Source organism: Homo sapiens, unplaced genomic scaffold (assembly GCF_000001405.40).
Source record: "Homo sapiens unplaced genomic scaffold, GRCh38.p14 Primary Assembly HSCHRUN_RANDOM_CTG21".
NCBI lineage: Eukaryota > Metazoa > Chordata > Mammalia > Primates > Hominidae > Homo > Homo sapiens.
Window position 1 is genome coordinate 72,920 of NT_187499.1, and position 26,999 is coordinate 99,918.

General features: G+C 48.6%; 1 protein-coding gene, 1 long non-coding RNA gene and 1 pseudogene across 5 annotated transcripts; 2 read left to right on the forward strand and 1 right to left on the reverse strand.

Moving 5' to 3' along the window:
• Positions 1-568: 568 nt before the first annotated feature.
• LOC102723408 (tektin-4-like) lies at positions 569-7,797 on the forward strand (annotated as a pseudogene).
• On the reverse strand, positions 3,794-26,999 carry LOC102723393 (uncharacterized). 4 transcript variants are annotated; one of them, XR_001756168.1, is made up of 5 exons: positions 26,689-26,999; positions 22,770-22,967; positions 17,133-17,370; positions 12,156-12,235; positions 3,794-4,506 (listed from the first exon to the last, which is right to left on the reverse strand). It is a non-coding gene; the product is annotated as an uncharacterized LOC102723393 (long non-coding RNA). The 4 variants fall into 4 exon arrangements; XR_001756166.1 differs by having other exon boundaries at positions 3,794-4,503; positions 22,770-23,041; XR_001756165.1 differs by having other exon boundaries at positions 22,770-23,041.
• On the forward strand, positions 7,326-7,797 carry LOC105379554 (maFF-interacting protein). Its single transcript, XM_011546267.2, has one exon. It carries the CDS (start codon positions 7,369-7,371, stop codon positions 7,741-7,743), a length of 375 nt encoding a protein of 124 aa, XP_011544569.1. The 5' UTR covers positions 7,326-7,368; the 3' UTR covers positions 7,744-7,797.

Sequence of the window (26,999 nt, forward strand, 5' to 3'; positions counted from 1 at the left end):
AAAAAGGAGTATAGTAGTTTCTTAAGAAACTAAAGGAACCTGAGTCCCCAGGCCTGCAGTCTGGGCCAAGGTCACTGGCCCTGGATCAATCAGGATGGGGTTCAGGGGCCTTCCTGGGGCCATCCAGTGTCCAAGGTGCCCTTTGGTGGCCTCGTCTGCCCCTCAGCCCCTGAGCACGTCCCTCTGTCCCTCCAATCCTCCCTGCCATGGGACATCTGTCACAGAGCCATGCCCTACCTCCTGCTTTCTGGAGATGCCAACTGCCTGGGGTGCTCTTAGCCCTGCCCTCCCCATCTCTGGGTCCTGACCAAGGTGTTCTAATGGACACCCCCTGACCCAGGTCTCAGAGAGCTGCCAGCACCCTGGGTCCCTGAAGCTAAGATCCAGCAAGACACATGTGGCCTGAGAGTCCCACTTTCTGGCTGGCAGAACCCAGAGGTGGGAGCACACTGGAGTGTCCTTCAGGGTGTCTTCACCCCATGAGAGGGCTGGGGGCTTTGGGAGTTTGCAGCTGGCAGGAGTCAGGGCCCAGTCCCCTAACTCTGATGCATCCTTGGTTAAATCCTGTGCCTCAGCCTGCAGGGCCTATTGTGGTCACCAGGTGAATGTGTTCCCTTAGTCTGGGAGCCCCAAGTAGGCAGCACCCCCTGCCAACGACTTCAGGGCACCTGGAAGTGGAGGCTGAGAGGTCTCCCACTTCGCAGAGCTGGGCTCTGGCCCAGAGGCCTTCTCCTTGGCTTAGCTGGTCTCTCGGGCTCCTGGGGCTGCAGATCAGGGACAGAAACAAGCAGCTCTGCTCTGCTATGCCTACAGAGAGGTGCCCAGTGAATACAGGTTCCAGACAAAAGGTGGAGCCTGGCATCCTGCCCTGCGTGGGCTCCAGCCTGCTGCCATCTGGGGAAACTGAGTCATGGCGAGGCTCAAGGATGTTTCTCAGACCACACCAGTCCCTGAAGGTCCGCTGACCTCCCATTCTTGACGGACAGTGAGAAGAGGTTCCCAGGCCACCTGCAATAGGTTCTGGCTTGGCCTGGGTTGGGATAAGTCTCCCGGCTGCTGTTCTCAAAGCCCCATCAGGAGGCTGTGTCAGGCCAGGCGCACCGTGGTGACAGCAGCATGGACTGAGGGTTCTGGCCGCGGGAGAGGTCAGGACCGGGGGAGGTCAGGTCCAGGAGGAGGGCACTGGCCGGCACATGGTGGTGCTGGAGAGACCTGGGCGGGGTGGTGGGAATGGCCCAGGAGGAGCCCTGGCTCCTGTGGCTGGAGTGAGGGTGCGGGCTGTGGTGGGAGAGGAGGTGAAGGTGGAAGGAACAGGGGCCCAGGGGCCTGTGCTGTAGGAAGGACATGGACTTCCTAGCGAGGACTTTCTGGTGCGGGGTTCTCAGGGAAGAGGAGGCCGGAGGGGCTGGGGTCCCCAGGAGTGCATGCACCAGGCAGGCAGAGGGGAGGCCGAGCCAGGAGCCGCAGGCTTCTCACCGCCAGACCAAAGCCACCCTCCGCTGGCTGCGTGGGGAATCGTGCCTAGCCTGGGGCTCCCCTGGCCCCAGGTTTGGGGGACTCCGATGTGTCCTGGGGCGCTTCCTGCCCATCCAGCCTCTGCCAGGCAGCATGGCCCTGGGTGGCTTTCAGGGCAGCCTCCGCAGCACAGGACCTGCCTCCGCCCTGTGGGGCAGATTTGGGCATCTGACTCTGGACACTTACCCAGAAGCTGAATTCAACTCCCCAGGGAAAAGCACACTCAGACTCCCTCCCTCCCCACTGTGCCCAGCCTGAGGGGACCCTGGCTGGGACTTGGGAGGAGAAGGCCAGAGGCCAGGGCCTGGCTCTCAGGCACTAGGTCCAGGAGAAAATGGAGCAGAGTCCCTGCAGGAACTGCCTCAGACTGCCCCTGAGGGGGCCTGGCCTGGGACCCTCCCTGTGCTACCAGGCTGCTGTTGGGGCCAGGAGGGCAGGGAGAGCAGCCACCTGTACAGCATCAAGTAACAGTATCACTCAGCACACCCAACATCCACACAACAGCCACAGCCCTCTGCCCTGAGGGGGCAGGTGGGCAGAGCCTCCTCTGTCTTGTTCACCCTGAGCAAGGAGCTCCACACAGGACAGGATCAGAGAGCAAACCAGGAACAAATGGATGAATCAACGAAGAGGCCAGGGCAGTAGGTCCCCACCCACACCCTGAACCCTAAGGGTGGGACACAGAGGCTGGAGACGGGCTGGCCCTGGGATCCTCTAAGTGACAGGAACCCTTGGCCACTGTTGATTGCCCTGAGGCAGGGACAGGGATGGTGGGGCTGGGGCTGCCTGGCCCTTTAAGAGGGCAATTCTGCCTGCCGCCCTGAATGCCCCCTCCCCTAGCCACTGGAGAAGAGATCCCGTTTCTTGGCAACAGGAAGCTCTTGGTTTACTGGGTCACCCAAGCAACTGGGAGCCGCGTCCTGCTCTGGGACTGAGCCGTTGGAGCCGACCAATGACTGCACTGGGCTGACCGCAACAAGCTGACCACACACACTCCTCACTCCCCTGGCCCTGGTGGGCGGAAGACACCATGGTGCAGACGGATATGCTCCTACCAGAGCCGGTCCCACAGACAATGCCGCCCTGCGAGCTGCCCTGCAAAGAGTATGATGTGGCCCGCAACACGGGCACCTACATGTCCTCCGGCCTGGCCACCGCCGGCTGGAGGTGTGGTTCCAGAACTGCTATGCTCGCTACCACCAGGCCTTCGCCAACTGCAACCAGTCAGAGCAGGAGCTGCAGGGGCATGAAAGCCAGCAGCTGGCCGCAGAGACCCAGGCGCTGGCGCAGGGGACGCAGCAAGACTCCACGCGCAGGGTGGGCGAGCAACTGCAGGACACGCACAGCTGGAAGTCAGAGCTGCAGCGTGAGGTGGAGGCGCTGGCTGCGGAGACCGACCTGCTGCTGGCCCAGAAGCAACGCCTGGAGCACGCCCTGGATGCCACGGAGGCGCCCTTCTCCATCGCCACTGACAACCTGCAGTGCAGCCAGGGCCACCAGAACGCTAACCTCATGCGCGACCATGTGGAGACGGAGCTGCTGAAGGTGCCAGCAGCCGTGGGTGGCCAGGATTTGTGGGTGCAGAGAGGAGGAGCCCCCGGCAGTTCATGTGGACAAGCCACGTGGCTGCTGCAAGCACACAGGAGACCAGCCCTCTGTGCGTGAGACCCCTGAGTCCCGAAATCTGGCCCCTTAGTGACAGGAGGCAGTTTTGCCCCAGAAGGCCCCTGACTTCTAAGCACCTGTTTCTCATCTCCTCCTCCAATCCCTTTGAGTCCTGGCACAGTCATCCTGACCCTGGGCTCCCCAGAGATGCTCCCTGGTTGGGACAGTTGCTCCTGAGGTGGAAACCTAGGTCTGGGCCAGCACTGCGGGTGTGGACAGGTAGGGTGGGGTGGGCTGAGAGCCACTGCTCCCATTCATCCTATACAGAGCTGGGAACACGAAGATCTGCACCCACAGGTCCCCTTCTCCATGTCACCTGTAACTTCCCAATCCAGCCCAGCTTGTCTATGGGGCAACCACATAGGGTGAGAGAGTAACTCAGTCCTGGCCCTGATGCAGGCTCTGGAGAATTCCCTGAGCTCTCAGAGCCTGGGACCTCCGTGAGAACCACTACAGGCCTGTAGACATTTGTGAAAGATGTGGGGTGGGGGCAGCTGGTCTCCTGCCATACCCCCAAGCTCAGGCAATAACCCTTGAGTTCCTCCCTCCCCTCATGCCTTCCCTCCTCCCTCCCTTCCCCTTCTGCAGGCCCATCCCCCTGCACCCTCTCAGTGCCTCAATAACTGCTTCAGCTCTCGCAAACCCTCTGCCCGCAACAAGGGCCCCTGCCAAGTGATGGAGACACTGACAGTGCAGGAAGAGGCAAACCCAGGGACAGAAGGGTGCAGGACTCGGGCCCTGGCACACAAGAAGGTAGCTGGTGGTCAAGGCAAAGACCCCAATCACATGGAAAAAAGGCTTGTTCCTACACACAGAAAATTAAACTGGCCAGGCAGTAAGAAGAAACACAGGGTCTTCCTCCTGTTCTTGGTGTGAGGATGGCCTTTCCCAACACAGAGCCCTGAGGGGCAGCCTGGGCGGGCATCTTGGCCCCCAGAGTTTGGGTCCTCAGGGGCTGTCCAGAGGCCAGGGGCAGGCCAACGTTCCTGGGTGCACTGAGTGAGCAGCAGTGATGACTCTTGAAGCCTGGGGTGTGGGAACTGACGCTGAGGGACCTTCCCAGCAGCCCATAGAAGGCCCTGGAGGAAAACACCCCACTTACAACGCACCAAGGAGAATGCACAAAAGCCCAAGATAAACCCAGTGAGAGAGCAGAACTTGCACAGTCAGAGCTCAGGCCCGGCATTCAACTCCTTCTGGTTGCTCAGGTGTAGACCAAGGCCTGCAGCAGCTGGGCCTCCTGGGATCCTTACCAAGGACCGGCTCTAGTGCTCAGGGCGTCTTCTCCCTCAGGAAGCTGAGCTCATCCGGAACATTCAGGAGCTGCTGAAGAGAGCCATCGTGCAAGCAGTGAGCCAGATCCGGTGGGTCGAGGGCTGCCCAAGGGATGACTCCTGACCCCACCCACGGCTGGTCCTGGGGCAAGGCATTGAACGACAGGACCCTGAAGCTCAGAGCCGGCAGGGGCTGCCCCAGGTCACAGTGGGAGCACAGGGCTGGGTGGGGGAGGTTCTGGCCCAGCCTGAGTTTGAGTGACCAAAGCCCAGTGCCATATCTGATCTGCAGCCTCCCAGCATGGGCGGCAGCTCTTGGTCACTGCTGAGCACGAGGACAGCCGGCCCACAGCTCCCTCCTGAAGCAGGCATGAAGGCCTAGCCTGCAGCATGGAGGATCCCCAGCGGTGCCCTCCCCGGCCACACACCAAGGCCCTGCCCCACCCCGCCCCAGACTGAACCGGGAGCACACGGAGATCTGCGAGATGGACTGGTCGGACAAGGTGGAGGCCTACAACCTCGACGAGACCTGCGGGCGCCACCACAGCCAGAGCACCGAGGTGCAGGCTCATCCGGCACTCCACCACCTTCCAAGAGAGGGGGGCCCCAGCTCTGCCCCCACACTTGCCCTGGCTGTGGTCTCGCCTCCCTCTGCCTGGGGGCCCCAGCGGCGCTGCTTCCCCCAGCCTGACCCGGAGGCCCTCGCCCCCGAGGACACTTGGGCAACTGTCTGCCCCTGGCATGAGTAAGCGAGCAAGACCTCCTCAAGTGCCCAGCGCGTGCACAGCCTGGTTGCCTGTAGACAGGACAGGGTGGGGTGGGGTCAGGCCCAGGCGCCGGCAGGATTGCATTTCCACCCAAGGCCAGCAGAGGGAGCGCGACCACCGCCCACTTGAGCGTGGCAAACTCCTGGGTGCGAGAAGCGGACGCGGGCGCTGGGTACTAGGGAAGGGGGGCTGCGGGGGACGGAGGTGCTGCAGAGGGGGCCTCGGGGGCAGCGGTGCTGGGAACGGGGTCGCGGGGGCAGGAGGGGACTAAGTGCCCGGGGTGGGTAGGGTGTGGGTGGACTCAGGGGAGTTGTGGGCGGGGGGCACTCGGAGGCAGGGAGCTTGGGGGACTGGGCTTCGTGGGTCTGCACGGGGTGCATTGGAGTCCATGCAGTTCCTCCAGGAGCATGGGGTGCAGACAGGGAATGGGGGCGCGGCAGGGCCCCCAGCCTTTGGCAGAGCCTCCCTGACCCTCTCCTGGCTGTCTCCTGCCCCGCAGCGCCTCCACCCCGGAGACCTGGACCAAGTTCACGCAGGACAATCTGTGCCGCTCCCAGCGCGAGCACCTGGACTCGGCCAACCTGTGGGTGCTGGTGGACTGCATCTTTCGCGACACCTCCGAGGACCTGGGACTCCAGTGTGACGCTGTGAACCTGGCCTTCGGGCGCCGCTGTGAGGAGCTGGAGGACACGCGGCACAAGCTGCAGCACCACCTGCACAAGGTGGGGCACCCTGAACCCCGAAGATGGCTCCCACTCCTGCCCACCACTCTGCCCCCTCTCATCACATGGCCTGGGCCCTCAATACCTTTCTCCTCTGTCCCACTTATCCCGAAGGACCCCAGAAGCAAGTGTCACCTCTCCGTAAACCTATGTAAAACCAGGTGACACTGGGTATGATCACAGGGTGTTGCAACCCCCATGACTGAGCTGGAGGAGCTGTGGGGAGGATGGAGGCAGGAGGTGGTCTCGGGAGCATTGACCGACCGGGAGGTCCCCAAGAGTCCTGGCCTGGCAGGCAGGGCTCTGACTCTAGGGCCTCAGCATGGCCTTTACCACCTCTGAGTCCCCAGTCCTTGAGCAGGATTTGGGTCCTGGTGACCACCAAGGATGGGGGTTCTTGGACCAGAGCTAAGATAAAACAGGCTGCCTGACTCTCCAGAGCCCACTGGGGGCCCCGTGCACATTGTTCCCCTCATCCACGCCTCCCCAGGGCCACTGGTCAGGACCACCCTCTGGACACAGCCCCAGGACCTGGGTAGGACCAGCCTGGTCTCCGCATTCGATATGCCCGGGCATGGGGGCACAGGCCTAAGGGGCACTGTCCTGTCTGTAGATGCTGCGGGAAATCACAGATCAGAAACAACGTGGCGGCACTGAAGGAGGCCATCAAGGACAAGGAGGCACCTCTGCACATAGCCCAGACCCTTCTGTACCTGCGCTTGCACTGGCCCAACATGGAGCTGTGTGGCAATGCAGCCCAGTTCAGGTGCTGCCTGGGCCTCTGAGGCAGTCCCACTTGCCCCCGTCCACCTCCTCGCTGTGACCCTTTCCAGTAAACACTCCAATCTCCACACACACATCCCCCGCAGGTGCTGAGAGGGGAGGGAGACTTTGCGGCCACACGCAACATGCAAGCACACCTTAAACACACAGATGATATAGACATGACACTGGGCAGGTCATGGGTCGGGTGCCTCTCAGTGCCAGGGACCTGTGCCCACGTGGTCTCACCCCACCCTGTGCTACCTCGTCTTCCCGGGAAGAAGCTCCTTCAGACAAGGTGAGCTCCTGGAGGCCACGGGGCCAGAGAGGCCAGGGAGGGCCATTCCCTGCTGCCCTGAGGGTGCTGTCCCCACCTCTGGTGGAAAGTATGACCTACGCCTGGGCTATAGGCATAGATGGGCCGTCCTTTTGTTTCCCTTGTTAATGGATGCCTGGTGGCCCCTTCTGAGCCTAAGTACCTTTCTTCCTTTCCTGCCCCTCAGTTCCTTCAAGGAACTGGGTGCCTCCTTCCGTCAAATATCAGGAATGGAAAGAACTGAGCCTTGTCGGCTGAGGCCAGTCCTGTTCTGCCAGGGTCGAGATTGCACGCAGGTCACTCATTCCCACTCAGGACCGTGCTCCCTGGGAGGACCCTCGTAATTTATGCTCTGCCCTAGAGCCGCTTTCCTGGTGGGATCCTTTCATGGCGTCTTCCCAGGACCTCCTGCCAGCTCCCATTGGGAGTTTTGGGTCCCCTGCACCCCAGTAGGTGCATACTTCTGCCCTCCCCAGCCCCAGCTCACACCCCCCAACATCCCCAAGCTGGTGAGTGAGGTGGAGGAGCTGAACATGTCCATCACAGCGCTGCGGGAGAAGCTTCTAGAAGGGGAGCAGTCCCTTTGCAACCTCGAGGACATCCACATGAGCCTGGAGAAGGACGTTACCGCCATGACCAACAGTCTCTTCATCGACCGCCAGAAGTGCATGGCCCATCGTACTTGCTACCCCACCATCCTGCAGCTGGCTGGCTACCAGTGAGCAGCGGCACGGTGCTTCCCCCCAATCCCCCAAATAAACAGTGCATTAGCTTTCTGCACAGTGTGTGTGTGTGCCCGGTGGGACCTCCAGTTGCTGTCCATCTGAACTGGCCTTTGGGTCCCCTGTGAGGCTGGCTCTGCCTATGGACTCATCATCCCAACAGTTGGAGATGAGGGGTCAGAGCTGAGGATGAGGAATCCCTGTGCTTCAGAGGACAGGACATGCCCAGGTGGGGACTGGGGCTCCACAGCACAGCTCAAGTGTGGGCGCAGACCGTGTGTCCCGCTCAGAGCCAGGCCACCCAGCTCCCCCTCCTCACTTCCCCACCAGTGCTGGCTCCTCCATTCCCTCACCAGAGTCTTAGGGCCTTGGGACATCTTTGCGGCCTCTGCATCTCCCCAACTCCTCCCCCTGCACCTCCAGGCCCCCAGCCTCAGCTCACATACCCCTGTGACAGTGCGCTTATTCTGCTAGAAGCTGGTCTGGCTGCTGGGTGCACCTGCTGTGGCGATCCTCCAGGCAGGCCCCACGCAGAAGCACCCACTTCAGCATCCCCTCTCTGTCCCCAATGACAGTGTATACCTGAGCTCAGCCCAGCCCAGCTCTCAGTGCCCAGGACCCCTGAGGCTCAGATGGGCAGATGGGCAGATCGGCAGGGGTACATGGAGTTCCCTTCTGGGTGTGGGCCCAGTGTGGGGAGAGGGGCCTGAGAACAGCCCAGGGTGGGCATCCACCTGGAGAGCCTGTGGGTGGGGGTCCCATCTGCAAGATCCAGGCCCACAGGGCTCTTGTCTCAGCCTGGAGGGGACCGGGAGGTAACAGCCCCTTCCCCCCAATCAACCACGAGGACAACCAGCTGGGCAGCTCTGTGAGCTGGGTGGGGTCAGCCAGGTGGAAATTGCTGCTGGGGGTTGCTGGGAGAAGAGGCATGGGCTGCCTTTCACGTGGGGCTAACTCAGACCTCTCTCCCCGACCTGCTAGGACCCCTCCAGAGGCCACTGCTGAAGACGAAAAACACTACTGCCGTTCACTGGGGGAGGTGATAATGTTGACTGCAGGCAGTTGGCTCGGGGAGGAGCCTTCTTGGGAAACCTACTCAGCCTGGATGGGGAGAAATCTGGGAGAGGCTGTGTGTGAGCAGGCAGTGCAGGGAAGACTTCCTGGAGGAGGGAGCCTGGCTTCCACCGCACAGGCCAAGGCACAGGGGCTGGGACCAGGGAAGGAGGTGTCTGGGCTAGGCCTCTCGCTTTATCTTGAGCTCTGGTTCACTGTGATAGGCTCGTTGCTAACCAGGCCCGGCCCTCCCCAGCTCCAAACCCGACTGCCAGGCAGTGAGGATTCTTCTTCCCACCCAGCCACTCTCAGAGATGCAGACCCAGACCCTGGAGGGTGGGCCCGAAAGCTTCCAGGACCTTCTCTCCAGTGCAGATTCAGGGGGAACTGTCATTTCCCATCACCACGGAAGCCACACTACTTGTCACAAGCCACCAGTCACTACAGTGACACCCAGGCCCACTCTTATTCTTTGGGGTGCCATTTAAATTCGCCCTGGATGCTGTTACCATGGGGTTTTGACAGCCAGGAGCAGAGGCAGTGGGACACAGCAGCCAAGCCTCACCTGGGGGCTGCAGACAGTTGGTGTCCTGTCCATGTAGCTCCTCAAAGCTGTTCCAGGACACCAGGCAGGGGCTGAGGCAATGACCTGCCCAGGGAATACCAAAGAACCATCTCCCTGCAATCACCCCCACCCAGCACAGGGAAAACCTGCAGTGAGGCAGATGGTGGTGAACACAAAGGCCCCTGAGCTGAGGGAGGTTGTTGGGTGGGGGCTTCACACCCTGCCACCCTAGACACAATGGCCAGGGAGGGGTCAGCTGTGGGAGGGTGGTGTCTGCAGTGCCCTCCCTGCCTGCTGCAGGGGGATGCAGGTGGTCCAACACCATCCTGGGCCTGGTCAGCCCTGGTGCCAGCCTCAGCACAGTAGCGAGGAGTCCTCCAAGAGAGCCAGGAACCTCCATGGGAGGTGGGTGGGGGTGAGGACACCCTATGCTGTGCCCACCCCAGCCTCAGAGGGAGCTGCTGGCACTGTCCCCTCTTGAGCAGCAGTGCTTCTCCCAGACTTTAGGGAAGTAGCCACTAAGAAGCCCAAGAAACAATGGCTCCCTCCCTGCAGGCCCCACACTCAGGCTCCCATTATCGCCTAGGCCCAGGTGGTGCTGCCCAGCCCTGTCGGGTCCCCATCAGTCTCAGGACCTCCTTGTCCCACCCTGGAGGGTGTGGCTGATGGAGAGCTGAGTGTGGAGGATGCCAGGGGAGGGGGCCTGGGAGACGTATTTCATCTCTGATGCCGGATGGTGGCACCAGGCTAGGAGGCACCGAGCTAGGTGCCATCCTGATCACAAGGCAGGTTTTAACTCCTTCAGGCCTCATGACCGCCTCACTATCACATGCATTTTACAGCAGGGAAAACTGAGGCTTGACGGTCCCTGTGCCCACTGTGCTCCCACCCCAGGGACAGGTTGATGCAGGGGAGGCTAATGACAGCAGTGATGGAAGTCACTTCCAGCTAGAGAGAGGCCAACGCCCCTGGCCCACAAACTTCATGACTCAGTGCAGAGCCAGCACCTGGGGCTGCTGGGCCAGAACCCTAAGGGCTGTCTCCTCATGCTGAATTCCCTGCTGACCTCCAGATTGTCCAACCCCCACCCCTGAGGCCATCTGGACACTGGCAGCTGCTGCTAACCCACAGGCCCCTCTGTGGAGTCCCCGTTGACCTGGCCTTGAACTCCTACCCATGGTGGAGATCAGGTGCGGCTTGCTCCAGGAAGCCTCTTGGCTCCTGGGGATTGGGAGAGTGGCCGGAGGTGATTCAGACCTCCAAAGTGGGCAGGAAGGTGGATGCCCACACTGGGCTGTTCTCAGGCTCCTCTCCCCACCCTGGGCTTCTAGCACAAGAATAAAGAAGGCTCCAGCAGCTCTCGCCTAGAAGAGACTATGGTACCTCCTGTCCCCGGCAGTTCAGGGAGGGAGCGGTTGCTGGGGGCTGCTGGCCTGTGGCTGTTACTGACCGGGTCAGGGTGGGGATGGGGACGTCCAGGCCCTGCCATCTGAGGGGTGCAGGTGGGATGTGGCCCAGCTGCAGCATAGCCCTCTCCCAACCCCAGCCTGTCCTGACCCTCAGTGAGCCCACATCCTAGAGTCAGAGCTGTGTTCTGTCCTCTGCGGAATCCAGTGGAGCCTGGACACAGCTGCCCCCTCCGTGTTGGGGTCGCCCTCAGCTGTCTCATGTCTGGGTTCCCTCATCTGCCCCCTGTGCAGTGGCTCCTAGAGATCACTCTCACAGGCATCAGATGCATGGCTCAAGGTCGGCACCAGAGCCCCTGGTGCAGTGCCCACTGTCCAGCCCACACGGCCACCCTGGGGGGCTGCAGTGGAGCCTGCGGTAACAGGATCCTCACTCCTTCAGACCCCCACTCCCCTCCCACACAGGCTGGCCACTGGGCTGTGGCTCATGGGCTGCCTGCCTTGTGCTAAAAATGGAACCCCAGACTTTCTGGCTTTAATAATACAATCCTGACCCCCCAGGGCCCTCCCCATTTCGTGGGAGCACCCCAAACATCTTCCATGGGAAAAATAGGACACAGAAACCCAGGCATCCAGGAGCCCAAGGTCTCACACCCAGGGAGCGAAGGGCTTGCCAAGGCTCTTACCCCAGTGCCCATCACCCCTGCCAGCATCCCAGAGTACAGTGGGGGAGATGCCATTGGGTGTCCATTGGGAGCCAGCCCCAGGAGCACAATGTACAGCAGCACTTTCCTGTCGCCATGGCTATGCTGCAGCCATGAGTGACCAGGGCTCTTTCTGTCCAGGAGACACCTGGAGTCCCCGAGCCACAGTGGCTCAGCCACCAGCCACGCCAGCTGCCTGCCCAAATGGATGCTCCCCAGGCCACCCAGACCCGAGGGACTGGAGAGAGCTCTTCTCCTGTCCATTCAACCACCCTTTAGCCTCCCTCCACCCTGCCCTGCACTTGGGGAGTCTCTGTGACCAAACCCCCACACAAGGAACTCACAAGAATGCCCCTCTCTGTTCAGGGGCAGGTCTTCTGGCATCAGGGAGCATTGAAGGAAGCACATGGAGAGGGGGACTGGGGTTCCCCATGACTGTGGCCCAGCAGCCCCCCACACCTTCCCCCACAGGGGATGCTCCCAGACACTTCTGAGCTGCCTTGGGTGCCCATTTCACAGGTAGGGAAACCAAGGCTCAGATCCAGGGAGCTGCAGTATGTGTGCATCCACCTGTCTTTCTCCACAAGCCCCAGGAGCTCAGGGGCAACAATGGGGAGCCCCTGCCCTGCTTGCCCCTACCCTGCCACAGGCCCACAGTCTCCCCTTAGGGATGTGGCTGCCCACCTGCAAAGCTGTGTCCTCATCACCCAGGTCTGAGCCGTGCAGAGCTGGTTCCAATGGCTGCAGGCACCACAGTCGCAGAGCTGGAAGAAACAAGAATCCTCCCCAAGAGTCTGCAGAGGGAGTGCATTTCTGCCCACACCTTGATTTTGGACTTGTGGCCTCCAGAACGGTGAGAGAATAAATTCCTGATGTTGTAAGCCATCACTACAGCAGCTCCTGGACACTAATATTGCTCAGTCCGTCCAGGCTCCTCTCTCTGTTTGTTGTTGTTCTAGGTTTTTCTGAGACAGGGTCTGGCTCTGTCCCTCAGGCTGAAGTACAGTGGCACAATCATAGCTCACTGTAACCTCCATCCTCTAAACTCAAGCCATCCTCTTGCCTCAGCCTCCCCCACAGCTGGGACTACAGGCAGTGTTGCCATGGCTGGCCAACTTTTAAATTAGGTAACCCTTCCCAATAACTTTCACGATTAGTTAACATCTTCTACATTCCTATGTATTTTCCCCTTTTTAATACAAACACATGCCCATTAAATAAGCAAAATAGGAAAAAAAAATTTAATCACCCAAAACCCTACCATCTACTTACCAGAGAGACAATAATGGCACAGGGATATACTGCCAAATTACATTAATTTTGGTAATCCAAAGCAATAGAAAAATCTCCAGTTTTCAATTTATTCTTTTTAGATTTCTAATCAAGAAAACCTATTTTCTACACTAAAGCAAATATATACAAAAGGAAAAGACACACTTATGAAGCAAAGGGATGAACTGGAGTCCTAATGTTATGAGAGGCTGGTAGTCATTCATTTGTCATCACTGAGGTATTTTCAGAAAATATCCATGGTTCCCAGAACTTTAACAAGCACAATAATCCACTCTTAGATACTTGAAAGTCAGATAAGAAGACATCTATCCCTTAACTAGTTGTTATACACTCTATGTAAATAAAACCATATAATTTAAATTTCCTCAATTAATTCTCACAGACAGTACCCAACCTCACATCACCATGATCTCTGACATGTCAATGTTTTATTGTAAATCGTGACAGACTATCTACATATATACTCATGATTTACAATTTGAGATTTTCAACCCAGCCAGTAACCTACGTAGCACTGAATTTAAATACCAGAAAAAGGACCCAGATTCCCTCACCACCTAGCAGAGCTCAAGTGAGTTACACAGCCTGGTAGGGAATGGGGAGTAATTAAAAGGTTGTAAGCAGGTACTACTATAGTCAGATGAGTTTTTGACAGGTTATTCTAAAAGCACTGAGAAAAGAAAACTGTTGTAGTATTCCAGATAAGATTATGTGGTCTGTAAAATGACAGTGTCAAGGATATAGAAAAGAAAAATCAAGGATTTTTCAAAGGGTAAACTGGATGTGATTATATAGTACCACATCAAATGAACATCAGGCTCAAAGAAGGCACGGGGGAGCAGGAGGCTGCTTTCCCCAGGTACTCTCTTTCCCAGGCTTGCCCAGCAGTCCTGGCAACTGACTATATATATATATATATATATATATATATATATATATATATATATGGAAACCATCATTCTGAGCAAACTATCGCAAGGACAGAAAACCAAACACCATATGTTCTCACTCATAGGTGGAAATTGAACAATGAGAACACTCGGACACAGGATGGGGAACATCACACACCGGGGCCTGTCATGGGGTGGGGGGAGGGAGGAGGGATAGCATTAGGAGATATACCTAATGTAAATGATGAGATAATGGGTGCGGCACACCAACATGGCACATGTATACATATGCAACAAACCTGCACATTGTGCACATGTACCCTAGAACTTAAAGTATAATAAAAATAAAAAATAAAAAAGTCTTCCTCAAGTTTATCATCAAAAAGTGCTACACATGATTTACAAGTATTTTCTTCCATCTTGTGAGTTGTCTTTTCACTTTCTTGATGGTGTCCTTTGAAGTGCAAAAATGTTTAATTTTGATGAAGTCTAGTTCATCAATTTTTATTCCTGTTGCTGGTCTCATATTTAAGAAAACTTTGCCAAATTCAAGGTCATGACAATTTACTTCTATGTTTGTTTCTCAGGATTTTATAGTTTTAGTCCTTACATTTATGTGGATTAGCTCAAAATGGATCCATTTGATCCAATTACTTTGCACCCATAGTTTTTGTATATGGTGTTGGGTAAAGGTCCTACTCCAGGTTTTGCATATGTTTACATATCTAGTTGTCCTTGTGCCAGTTCTCAAACTTCTTTCCCCACTGAATAATCTTGGCACTCTTGTCAAAAGCAGTGGTTATATATGTATGGGTTCATATCTGACTCTCAATTCTATCCCACTGGTCTATACATCTATCCTTCTGCCAGTATTATATTGTCCTGATTACCATTGTCTTGTAGTAAGTTTTAAAGTCAGTAAGTATGAGTTCTTCTACTTTGTTTCTCATTTTCAAAAGATTATTTTGGCTATTCTTAGTCCCTTGCAATTCCATATGAATTTCAGAGTCAGCTTGCCGATTTTACAGAGAACTCATCTGGGATTCTGACAGGGATGAAGTTAAATCTGTAGATGAGTTTAGGGAGTACTGCCTTCTTAACAATGTTAAGCCTTAGGTCCATGATCATGGGATACTTTTACATTTATTTAGATCTTCTTTCATTTCTTTCAACAATGTTTTATAGTTTTCAGAGTACAAGTTTTACACTTCTTAAATGTATCAGTATTTTATTCTTGTTGATGCTATGATAAATAAAGTTGCTTTCTTAATTTCATTTTCTGATTGCTCATTGTGAGTATGTAGTATTCAGTTAAAGTGTGTCAAATACTATTGATTTTTGTATATTGATCTTGAATCCTGCAACCCTGATGAACACAAGGGATTTGTGTCTGGCATACATAAGGAACAATTACAATTCTGTAATAAAAAGACAAAACAACCCAATTAGAGATAGATAATTCAAGAATGGATAAACAAACTTCAATACATGCAAACAAATGGAATATTATTCTGCAATTTAAAAAATGAGCTATCAAGCCATGAAAAAACACAGAAGAACCCTAAATGTATACTGCTGGGTGAAAGAAGCCAGTCTGAAAAGGATACATACTACATGATCTATTATATGACATTCTGGGAGAGGCAAAATTAGAGAGTAAAAAGATCAGTAATGACCGGGGGTTTGGGAGGAAGAGGAGGGGGAGGAATGACTCAGTGGAGCACAGGAGATTTTTAGGGCAATGAAACTGTTCTACATAATACTGTAATGGTGGGTACATGACATTATACATTTGTCAAATCCAAACATCTATAAAACACAGAGTGAACCCTGAAGTAAACTATGAACTTCAGATATAAGTATCAGTTCATCAAATCTAATCAATTTAGCACAGTAGCGCAAGGTGTTAAGAGTCAGGAAAACTGGGCGGGGGCACTGTAGGGGAGCATATGTGGACTCTCTGCACTTTTCTCTCTATTTTTTCTAAAACTGCTAAAAAAAAGTCTATTGTTTTTAAAATAAAATGATCCCTAGCAGGAAAAAAATGACAAAAGATCTCAACAAATATTTCCCCAAAGAAGATATACACATGGCCAATAAGCATGAGAAAAGACACTGGACATTACCTTCAATAGGAAAATACAAATCAAAACCACAAGGAGATACAATTTCACATACATTATAATGGCTACAATTAAAAAGTCACACAGTAAGTGTTTGTGAAGATGTGGAGAAACTGAAATTTTAGTACACTGATGGAGGGAAAAAAAAATAATGCAGCCATTTCAAAAAGTAGTTTGGCAGTTCCTCAATTAGACAGTTATCATGCATCCAAGCAATTCTGCTCCTAGATAAACACCGAAGAGAAATGTCTACACAAAAACCTGTACACCAATGTTTATAGCAGCATTATTCATAATAACCAAAAGGGGAAAACAATGTCCTAAATATCTATCAACTGACAAGTGTATAAACAAAATCCAGTGTATCCATGTAACAGAGTATCATGTGGCCATAAAAAGTAAGTACTGATACATGTCACAGCATAGACAAACCTTGCAAGCATTATGCCAAGTGAAAGAATCCAGTAACAAAAGCCCATATGATAGATAATCCCATTTATATGAAACACACGCAATAGGGAATCCAGAGGCAGAAAGATTGGTGATTGCCAGTGCTACAACTGCGGGGGTGCAGATGATGTATGTGGAGAGACAGAATTGAAAGCTAAATGGCACAGGAGGCAGGGTGTTGTGGTCCATGCCTGTACTCCTAGCTACTAGGGAGGCTGAGATGGGAGGATTGCTTGAGCCCAGGAGTTCAAGGCTGCACTAAGCTATGATTACACCACTGTACTGCAGCCTGGGCTGCTCGACTGAGCAAGACCCCATCTCTTAAAATAAATAAATAAATAAATAAATAAATAAATAAATAAATAAATAGAAAGAAAATAAGCTAAAGGGCATAGGATTTTTGTTTGAGGTGGAAAAACAATTCTAAAATTGATTGGAGTGTTGGTTCCCAACATCTGTGAATATACTAAAAACCACTGAACTATATACTTCGAGTGGGTGAATTACATGGCATGTGAACTGCCAATAAAGCTGTTTTAGAAATCCTAATATTTGCTGTGCTATAACTTCAGCAAAGTACCGCAGGGCAATAATTGCAGAGCCAACCCTATCATTACAGTATGACACAGGAAAACTTAAAACTGCACTTACGATCAAGCTATATGCAGAGCATATTAGCACACCAAAAATAAATGACTACACTAAAGACCCATCCTTCAAGGATTACAGAATTTAAGTGCTGAAAAGGAGAGTAAAACCACTCTGTTTTTTTTAAAAAGGTAAGAACTCACAACTTAATTAGTCACTTGTAAAATTCTAGATTGCTAAGAGATTTTCAGATATAATTTAAAAGAAAACACATGACCAAGACAATAATGAAAATCTATACATAAATTTACTATTACCTTTAGCTTCTGAACACACAGCCAAAAATCCATCTTCTGTCACTGCTTTAAACAAAGGTCTGACTCTTTATGTATCTCTGTCCAGGGACACTTTCTTATTGGCAGAATCCAGTAAAACAAATGCAAACACACTATCCAATATACAAATTGTTTGCTCAATTCCTCCTTTGTCATAAAGATGAAGGATTATGTCACCATCCACTTTGGTCTGGTATTCAAATTCAAAACGGTGCTGCACCTTAGGAAGCAATAGCAAACCCAAAACGTTATAGACTCCTTGTGCATCCACTAATAATTTTTTATCACAAAGTTGCTTCAGTATTTCTGGAGCTTTAAAATCATTTCATGCACTTTGGTGATTTAGGAGAATCATAGCATTATCAAACTAGGGTTTGCTTCAACTCATAATTCTGCAAATTCTGTTCAACATAAAGCTGAACCCATGAAAGTTTTAGTTGCAGTCTGATAAACAGAATATAACGGGAATGTACCAGAATAGTAACCTGTAGAGGAATGGAAATTCATATTATATACATACTATGTATGTGATACATAAATATTTTATATATGCAGATTGAGTATCCCTTATCTGAAATGTTTGGAACCAGAAGTGTTTAGGGTTTCGGAATTTTTTTTTGGATTTTATAATATTTGCATCTACGTGAGATATCTTGGGGATGAGACCCAAGTCTAAACGTGAAATTCACTTATGTTTCATATATCTTATACACATAGCCTAAAGGTAATTTTATATAATATTTCAAATAATTTTGTGAATGAAACAAAGTTTGTGTACATGGAACCATCAGAAAGCAAAGGTGTCACTATCTCAGCTTCCATGTGGAAAATCTGTGGCTGTTTGACGTCACTGACCATCATTTCTGACTCTGAATTTATATGCTACTGATGAGCAATCATTTTCACACAATTATTCAAACATAAGTAAAAATATGACATGCCATTAATACAGTAAAAAGTAATAAGCAACACAGTAGCATCACCAGAATACCTGCATCAGCTGTTAAACAGCTGTATAAACAATGGCAAGATTTCAGGCTCCACCTACAAGGCTGCGTTTTGATTAAAAGGTTACTGTATATTGTATTTTTTTTCTTTTTTTAGGTGAGAAGAAATATCAGGAGTTGAGCAACTAGGAGGTGAGTCCTCTGAGGCTGAGGAGGCATTCTGCCAGATGGCTTTTTATAATGTTTCTCCAGAGTCATCTGCCTCATTATCAAGGGCTTTTGTCTTGGAAGTCTCTCTTTAATTTTATAAACTGACATGACCTCTTATTCTGTTATGAATGCAGGTAGCTCTAGTCCTTCAATATCTTCAATATCTCTATCACACATTTTCACCATGTCATCTATACCTTTACACTACAGTCCAATTTCTCCAACAGCTTGACTTTTTGTGTTCTAAGAGTTTCTACTTTTCCTTATCATTGCTGCTCGCAGGGATATCTAGAGGCCTTATTGACATTTTCAGTATGTTAACACCACAGAGCAGAGAATAAGCAAAAATACACAATGGGTAATGCACTTAGGTCCCATCTGTGGGGATCCTGCCATTGGCGTGTCCAGCTTGCACATGTGCCATTCTGTGACCCTTTGTGTGTGTGCTTGCTTGGGGAAATCTGAGCATGTATAGAAAATTTATACTGCAGCTGAAGGGGGATGAGAGGGTCTTTTTTCACAAGAGAACATCAAATAAACTGTGTGTTGTACACCTGCACTTCGACTGGGACATCAAAATCCACATGTGGTGTCATGTCAGTGCTCAAAAAGTTTCAGATTTTGAAGCATTTCAAATTTCAGATTTTCAGATTAGGGATGCTCAACCTCTAAATTTAATTTAAGGTAATATGTTGCTTGGTTGCCATGACACTAAAAAATGTGTCTTCTGCAACTGTCAACTTTTGGTTTGAGAAGACAGTATTGGCTAAGAAGTTCCTCCAGTTCAGCTTCAAAGACCTAGCTATAAAAATGTAAAGCAAAGGGACAAACATCATTTGGCATCATTCCCTGAAAAATAAATGGCTACATCACAATAACAGATACATGATCCAAAACAAAGCTGCTTGTCCTCAGGTGTGGACGACAACACCCAGTGCTCCCACCACTGCAGTAGCATTAAAACTACTCACTGAGAGATAAAATGATGGTGGCACTTTATTAGTCTGCATGCCCCAAAGGAACAGCAAAGGGACTGTCTGCCACTGCATGCAGAGCAAGAAGGTTTGATTAGGCTACTCCCCAATTCTGACACTCTCCACCATCACTGGCAAACTATGAGGATGAAAAGTCCTTGATGTATTTCTCTTTGTATGTCATACTCACATTTTTGTCTGACATTAGAGAAATAAGAGGTTTAAATCAGGTGGGAATCCTATGTTAAGGTTAAAACATGTTTTCAAATCTCAAAAAGTAAACCTATTATGTATGTGCACGACCCATAAATACACTTCACACTCCATCCAGCTCACTGCATAATTTGTGAACCTTTTGTCTGTAAGCCCTCAATGAACTGTCCAAAAATGGGTTTTGCCTCCAGTGACTATAAAGTCACTACCTGGTCACCCCTCTCTGCTCTATCAGGGATGATCTGTAACTAGCAGGTGGGATCTGGAAACAGTCTTCTGCTGACTGTCCTGGGCTGAACTGCCTGAAGGGTAAGTCACTTACCACTTACTTTATGGTCACTTACCATAAAGCATGGAAAACTGTCATTAGCTGAAAAAAATAAACCCAGCACCTAGGACAATAAATACATGCCATACACTCCCAAATAGATGACGAGTCTCCAATTTGTTTTCTGCCTCTTAGGAGCTTATAAAACTAAAGTTCACAATTAATGGGGAAGGGAGGAGACAGATGATCTTCATTGCCTTAGTTATAAACTTGCTTTGGTCTATGGTGATCCTGTGTTAAACTGTGAAATAGAATCTATCATCCTGGCTCTCTGAGGCCCTTGACTTCACCCTTTTAGTGCTTTTCTTACTTATTTTCAAACCTTCACCTCTCTCACATTGAAAAGCCCAACTCTTAATACCCTCTCTAAAAAACTACCCCTTCCCACCAACCACCACCACCGACCTCACTCTATCATCTAAATCTGTTTCAAGATATAAAAATCTTGGTAATTTAGATCTTAACACAAATTGCATACTACCTTTTCAAAAAGCAAGTTAAGCCTGATTCTAATTGTGGGATGAAAAGTTTTTTCCCTATGAAGAAATTTTAAATATCATCAAGCATGTTGAGAGGTGCTAGTGAGGGCATGGAGCAAGGAATCAAATTCCATAGGTGATTGTTTTCTCTATCTTTGTATAAAAATGTCCTTGCCCCAATTAAAGCCTCCACCAAGTATAAAAAGAAAGCGTTTGGTGATATTAGCAAGCAACAGTTTCCCAAATCTACCTTGCCCACCTCTTTGGCCTAAACTCTGCAGGTAATTTATTCAAAAAAGAGAAGTGTCCTTTGAGTAACAAATGTATCACTTCCTACTCTCTTAAACCAAACTCCGATGCTGCATCTTAGATAAAAGCCCTCAAATCTGGCCTCCTGAAGTCATGCTGTCATTTAACTTGGCTGCAGACCCCTGATACTCCCCTGCAGGGAGAGAGTCTGCTCTTTGCCCCAGCCTTTACCCCATTCCTACTTTCTTTCACTCAGCCCCCCTCCACTCCCAGCACACCTCTGGCTGTATTTTATTATTAGTAGTAAGCTTTATTTTTATCAAAAAGGGGGTAGGGGGTATTTTTGACCTTATGTTGCAGAATACTTTATATAAGCCTAAAATATGCATTCTGTTCATTAGATTTCTAGCTGCCCCAACTACATAAGCTGAGATGCTTGGTAGAAGCAATGGAACAAACTTCTCTAGTTTTACAAATATAACTTTTGACTAATTTAGAACAGAAATTAATTAATTTCAAAATATTTAACTTATTTTAGCTTTTTAGAAAAAAAAACACTATCTGAGTAAAACAGAGCACTTCCTATTTCATTTAAGGAGAAAGCCAAGCTGATAATGCCATCATACTACCTAGCTTTCTCATGCATATGACACTGATTTGACTTAGAAAGAAAAAAGTTTTAATACTCTCTTCTACTTCCCACTAGCAGGAAATTCCATTCTTGCCTTTCCTTTTCACCATTTCATCTACAATCACCTAGAAAAATGATGTCTGGTTCATATTAGGCCCTTAATAAAGGAATAAAGAAATGTGGGAAAGGAATTTCTTGAATAACTATTTTAAAACTTTTTGAACAAGAAGACTATTATTAAGAGTGTTCCCATGAGCAGGCAACAAACAATGACAAAAGCTATTATTCAGAGATAAAAATGTCCAAAACATGGTTAGGATATAACTCTCTATCAGTGCCTGACAGGTATCTATCAAGAAGTCTCAGAAAAAATACCAAGAAACATCACAACCAAATGCATGAATATTGAATGAAATCTGGCTCTAAACAAACAAATACCAGCTATAAAGATATTCTTGGTAGCACTTTGAGGGGCCAAGGTGAGTAGATTCCCTGAGCTCAGGAGTTCCAGACCACCCTGGGCCCAGTCTTTACTAAAATACAAAAAATTAGCCAGGCATGGTGACAGGTGGGCCTGTCGTCCCAGCTACTCAGGAGGCTGAAGAAGGAGAATCGCTTGAACCCAGGAGGCAGAGGTTGCAGTGAGCCGAGATCGCAACACTGCACTCCAGCCTGGGTGACAAAGTTGAGACTCTGTCTCAAAAAAAAAAAAAAATTCTCCAGACACTTAGCGAAATTTAAGTATTAACTGGATATTAGGTAGCATTATGATTTTTTTTTCTTTTTTGAGACAGAGTCTTGCTCTGTCTCCCAGGCTGGAGTACAGTGGCTGAAGCTTAACACACTGCAAGCTCCACCTCCCAGGTTCACACCATTCTCCTGCCTCAGCCTCCCGAGTAGCTGGGACTACAGGTGTCCACCACCACGCCTGGCTGATTTTTTTATTTTTGTATTTTTAGTGGAGATGGGGTTTCTCCGTGCTAGCCAGCATGGTTTCAACCTCCTGACCTCGTGATCCACCCACCTCAGCCTCCCAAAGTGCTGGGATTACAGGCTTGAGCCACCGCACCCAGCCAGGTGATATTATGGATTCTTAGGTTTAATAATGATATTGATGTTATGTAGAAAAATGTCCTTATTCTTAGGAGATAAATGCTTATATATTTAGGAGTGTCACAAAATCTGCACCATACTCTCAAATGATTTGGCAAAAAACTGTGTGTGTGTGTGTGTAGAAAGAAAAATCAAGCAAATATGGCAAAACATTAATGATTATTCAATCTAGGTGCTCACTATTCTGTTCTTTTCTGTATGTTAGAATTTTTTTCAAAACAAAAAGCTGGGGAGAAGGAGAAAAAATTCTAAGAGTCAAAGAAACTGTGTAATCCCCATTTTTATCACTTTTTTGTGACCAAGTGATTTAACTCACCATTTTATTCATCAGTTCCCTATCTACATACTTAGAGCAAATGAGATAACATAGAATGCTTTGCAAAGTAAAAAGCAAGATACAGAATATATAATGTCATCGTAACCAACAAGCTCTGAAGTTTAATCACATCCACACATCTGGCTTCTTTTCCCCTACCTTCTTATGGTTGTAGATTTCACCATTGTAACAGAGCCACATATATGGATATGTCTTCACTTAAATTGTCTGCATTCCAAACAGCGGGTCAACTACCACCAATGGGTGAAATCCAAAGCAGCAGCTGGTGTATCCATTAACATTCTCAAAACAGGATGCATCTGGACCCCTGTGTGCAATCTTCATAGCACACAGACACTAAACAGAAAGGCAGTCATTGCTGTCAAACAGGACCCAAATGCCACACACAGTGCAATGAAGCTATAAGCTCCCTATGGAGAGAAAAGTAGACAAATCAAAAATATTCAATATCCAATCCAAGTCCGCGTTAAATCTTGATTCCAGAAACGTGCATAAACCACTTCAAAGACTAAAATTTAAACCATCTTTTCTATAGCGATTTCCCATTTGGTTGGCAGGCATACAGGAGTAAAGAATGATTTAATTTACTTACAAATATTCAGAAAAGATAGTGACCTCTACATTCAACCAGCTACAGCAGCTTAGCACCCAGCCAAAGGCTCCATCTCTCCCACCTTAAGATTTAGTGGTTGGCTAGAGTTAGCAGCATCCAGGCCACATCTATCTCTGCATTCTAAGTTTGCTTCCAAGATAAAGATACAAATGCACGCTGGCTCCAACCTAGCCAGAGATCCCAGCCCCACTCTCTGCATCCCAAAATCCCTCAAAGACCCAAGAGACTTTCCAGATTTCTACAGTCTCCTCACAGGTTCCCTTGACAGTTAAATGCCCTCTCTTTACCTCAACTAGCTGCAGGTAGAATATAATGGGCACAAGAGAAAATCATTGTAAGTGTAATATGAAGATACACAGCCCTTTTAAGCATTTCATTATATTACATCTAGCTTACTTCTAAGGGATTTATTCAGATGTGACTGAAGAAAGTCTAAAGGGAAAAAAGCAATTTAATTTGATAAATTAAATTATCAATTATAGCCAAATTATTTGGCTATAACAAATTAAACATTTTAAGCTGACAGAAGATGCAAACATTTTAAGTTGACAGAAGATATAAAATGTTCACTATCAAAATGTCACAACTGATAAAAATGTTCTCAAATATTTCTGTCTCAAACTTGCATTGTTCATTAAGGAAGCAAAATAGGTGGGACATACACAGCAACAACATACCTCAAAAAACAACTTGGCTCATTCCTATAAGCCAGGCAGCAAATACGTCATCCTTACATATGTTAATTACCTTCCAATTTCAAATTCTCAACTGTGAAATAAAGGGCCATTTTATTTGTCTGCTGCCAGTACAATATGACTGTTTTTATTAAAACATCTCTAACTTGAGAAATATTTGGTGTTTTCTAAAAAACTGCAAATTGCAGCAAATGGCCAGATAATTTGGAATAAACACCCTACAGAAAAAATATATATTCAAGTTGCATAAGTCACTTTGAGCAATCCTTTGTGGATATTTCATTTATATCTAAATGAACCACAGGTTTAGCTGGCTTTTCTGGAAAACCAGAAGCAAATAATGTATGATTATAATGAAAACCATCTCAAGCAATTTGGAAATGAAGTACCACATGTCCTATGCTGTCCCTTCCATACACTTGACAAAACAGCCTATAACAAATTGTTTACTTTGAGATTTAGTAGGAAAATTCCATGAGATTTAAATGAGATGACTACTAATAAGCCGTCTACATTTGACTCTATTCCAATTAAAAATGGGTTAGGAAAGTGCTTTGAATATCAAGTGTGTTCATCAGGGAATCATTTACCTAAGTCTTCTTAACACTGTTTAGTGAATATTAAGCCTGATGTAGTAAATACACGCTAACCACTAAATTGAAGGGGAAAGAGGGAGAACAAAGAGGCATGTAAAGTACACTTACTTCTTCTAGTAGGAAAAAGCCAATTAAAACTATCACCTATTAGTTTTATTGGAATCAGTCTTACAGGAGGTCAAACTTCCTACTGTCGCTACCTATTCTCAATATTTTTCTTATTTCTTCCTAAACTTCTAGAGCTGTGCTGTCCAATAAATATGTGAGCCACGTATGTAATTTTAAATGTACTAGTAAGCCCCATTAAAAGAAAAGGTGAAATTAATTTTAAATATACCTAACTCAGTATGTCCCAAATAGTAATCATAGTAATAATTTTAACATGTAATAAATATAAAAAAAGTCAAGCAGATATTCTGCACTGTTCTTCCCACTCCAACGACAAAATCCAGTGTATTTAACACAACACATCTCAATTAGGACTAGCCAGGATTCCAAGTGCTCAACAGTTACAGGTGGCTAGCACCTACTGAATTGGACACTGCAGTTTCAGTGCATTGAATTTCTATCCCACTTAGCGCTAATTAAAACTTCACCCTCTCACCTGACAATGATGCTAAGATCTCAGTAAGTAACCAACTACAGGCAGTTTCCAGCCCTACTTTACCTCTAATTACTCTTACAGCAATGCAATGAATCATGATTTAAAATTAAAAAAAAAAACTGCTGTTAAATTATTAGTCAAGCGCCCAGGGCAATGGACAGTAAAGAAATAATGTAGGCCATGGGCCGAGATGACAAAACGGTCCTTTTATTTAAAGCTATAATAATCTGAAGCCAGCCCTGTAAAATAGACATCCATTGAAAAAGGCATGCTAGTTCTTTTGCTTTTTTGTGTACTTGGCCTCCTGTGTCCCTAAACAGATCTCTTAGCAGAGTTTGCTCAGCAAGTCACTTGTTGAGTCTTGCAGTCTACAGAGGGGGTGGGGAATGGCAGGAGCTGGCATAGGAGTGAGAGGGGAAGAGGCAAGGTGAGGGAGGCCAGGTGAGGAGGGTGGCACTTGAAGGGGAGTTCAAGACTTGCCTGGGCAACATGGTGAGACCACTGCCCCTCACCGCCGCCATCTCTGTTCTCACTCTGGTCTCACACACATGCACAAATTAAATTTAATTTAAAAATTAAAAAGTTGTTTTAAAATAAGTGAAGGATTTACATGGATTATGTATACATTCATTTTGTAGAACTATAGATCCCATGTAACTGGGAACTCTTTACTCTTCTAACACAACATTTATTTAGCCACAAATAAAAGAAGACCAGTGATGTAGCCTGTACACAAAAAAGTAAGAAAACACTGGTTAGGCTGGGGCAGGGGTGGGGGGAAGAGATCTACAAAATTAAAATTTTATTGGGAAGGATCATTAATTAGAATCAGAACAATTACTGCTTTAAAGTAGTTAAGAACAGAGCACAAGGAACCCAGAGAAGAAGCAGATATGATTCAGAGCAGAGCTCACAGAGCAGATGGTATCTGAGCTGAGACTGATAGAATAACATTAATAAGGGCATTCACAGACATTTATTATCACTTAACTGCAATGTATTTTGTATAAGTTATTTCTACTCTTCATATCAACCATGGAAAATAATACTTATTCTTTTCTTTTGAAGTTAAGGAAGTGGTAAGTGGTCTAAGAAGATAAATTAACATACTAACACCAAATAGCTCAAGTTCAGTGACTCAAGAGTGCCCGCGTCACTCCAAGAGGTTGCTCAGCAGGCAGACGAGGTAGAGAGCCCTTCCAAGAAGTGACAGTGAGATGTGAAAGGTCTCAGTGTGTCTCTGAGAACAACAGAAACCAGTAAGTAGACCAAGTGGGAAAAGCCATGGAAGAGGCAGGGATTTCCTCTTAAGATAGCAAGAATAAACAGAGCAGGGCTGAGGGAAGCCATGGAAAATGGGCAGAATACCATGCATTCAGTGAGAAAAAAACAACTTTTACTTTAGAAAGGGGGAAAGAATGGTGGTGGTCTAGGTAAGCCTAGAAGCAGAGGAAAGGGCAGTGGAGGAAAAATATACAAAATGTATTAGTCAGGGTTCTCCAGAGGGACAGAACCAACAAGATACACGTATATGTATAAAGGAGTTTACCAGAGAGAATTGGTTCACACGGTTAGAAGGCAGTCCCACAACAGGCTGTCTGCCAGGTAGGGAAAGAGAGAAGCTAGTAGTGGCTCAGTCCAAGTCCAAAAGCCTCAAAACCAGGAAAGCCCGCAGTGCAGTCTTCAGTCTGAGGCCGGGGGCCTGAGAGCCTCGGGGAAGCCACTGGTGCAAGTCCCAGAGTCCAAACGCATAAGAACCTGGAGTCTCATGTCCAAGGGCAGGAAGAAGGGAAGCAAGTTTCCTGCACGGGAAGAAGAAAAAAAGAGAGCCAGAAGCTTCAGCTAGCAAGGTTATCCCAC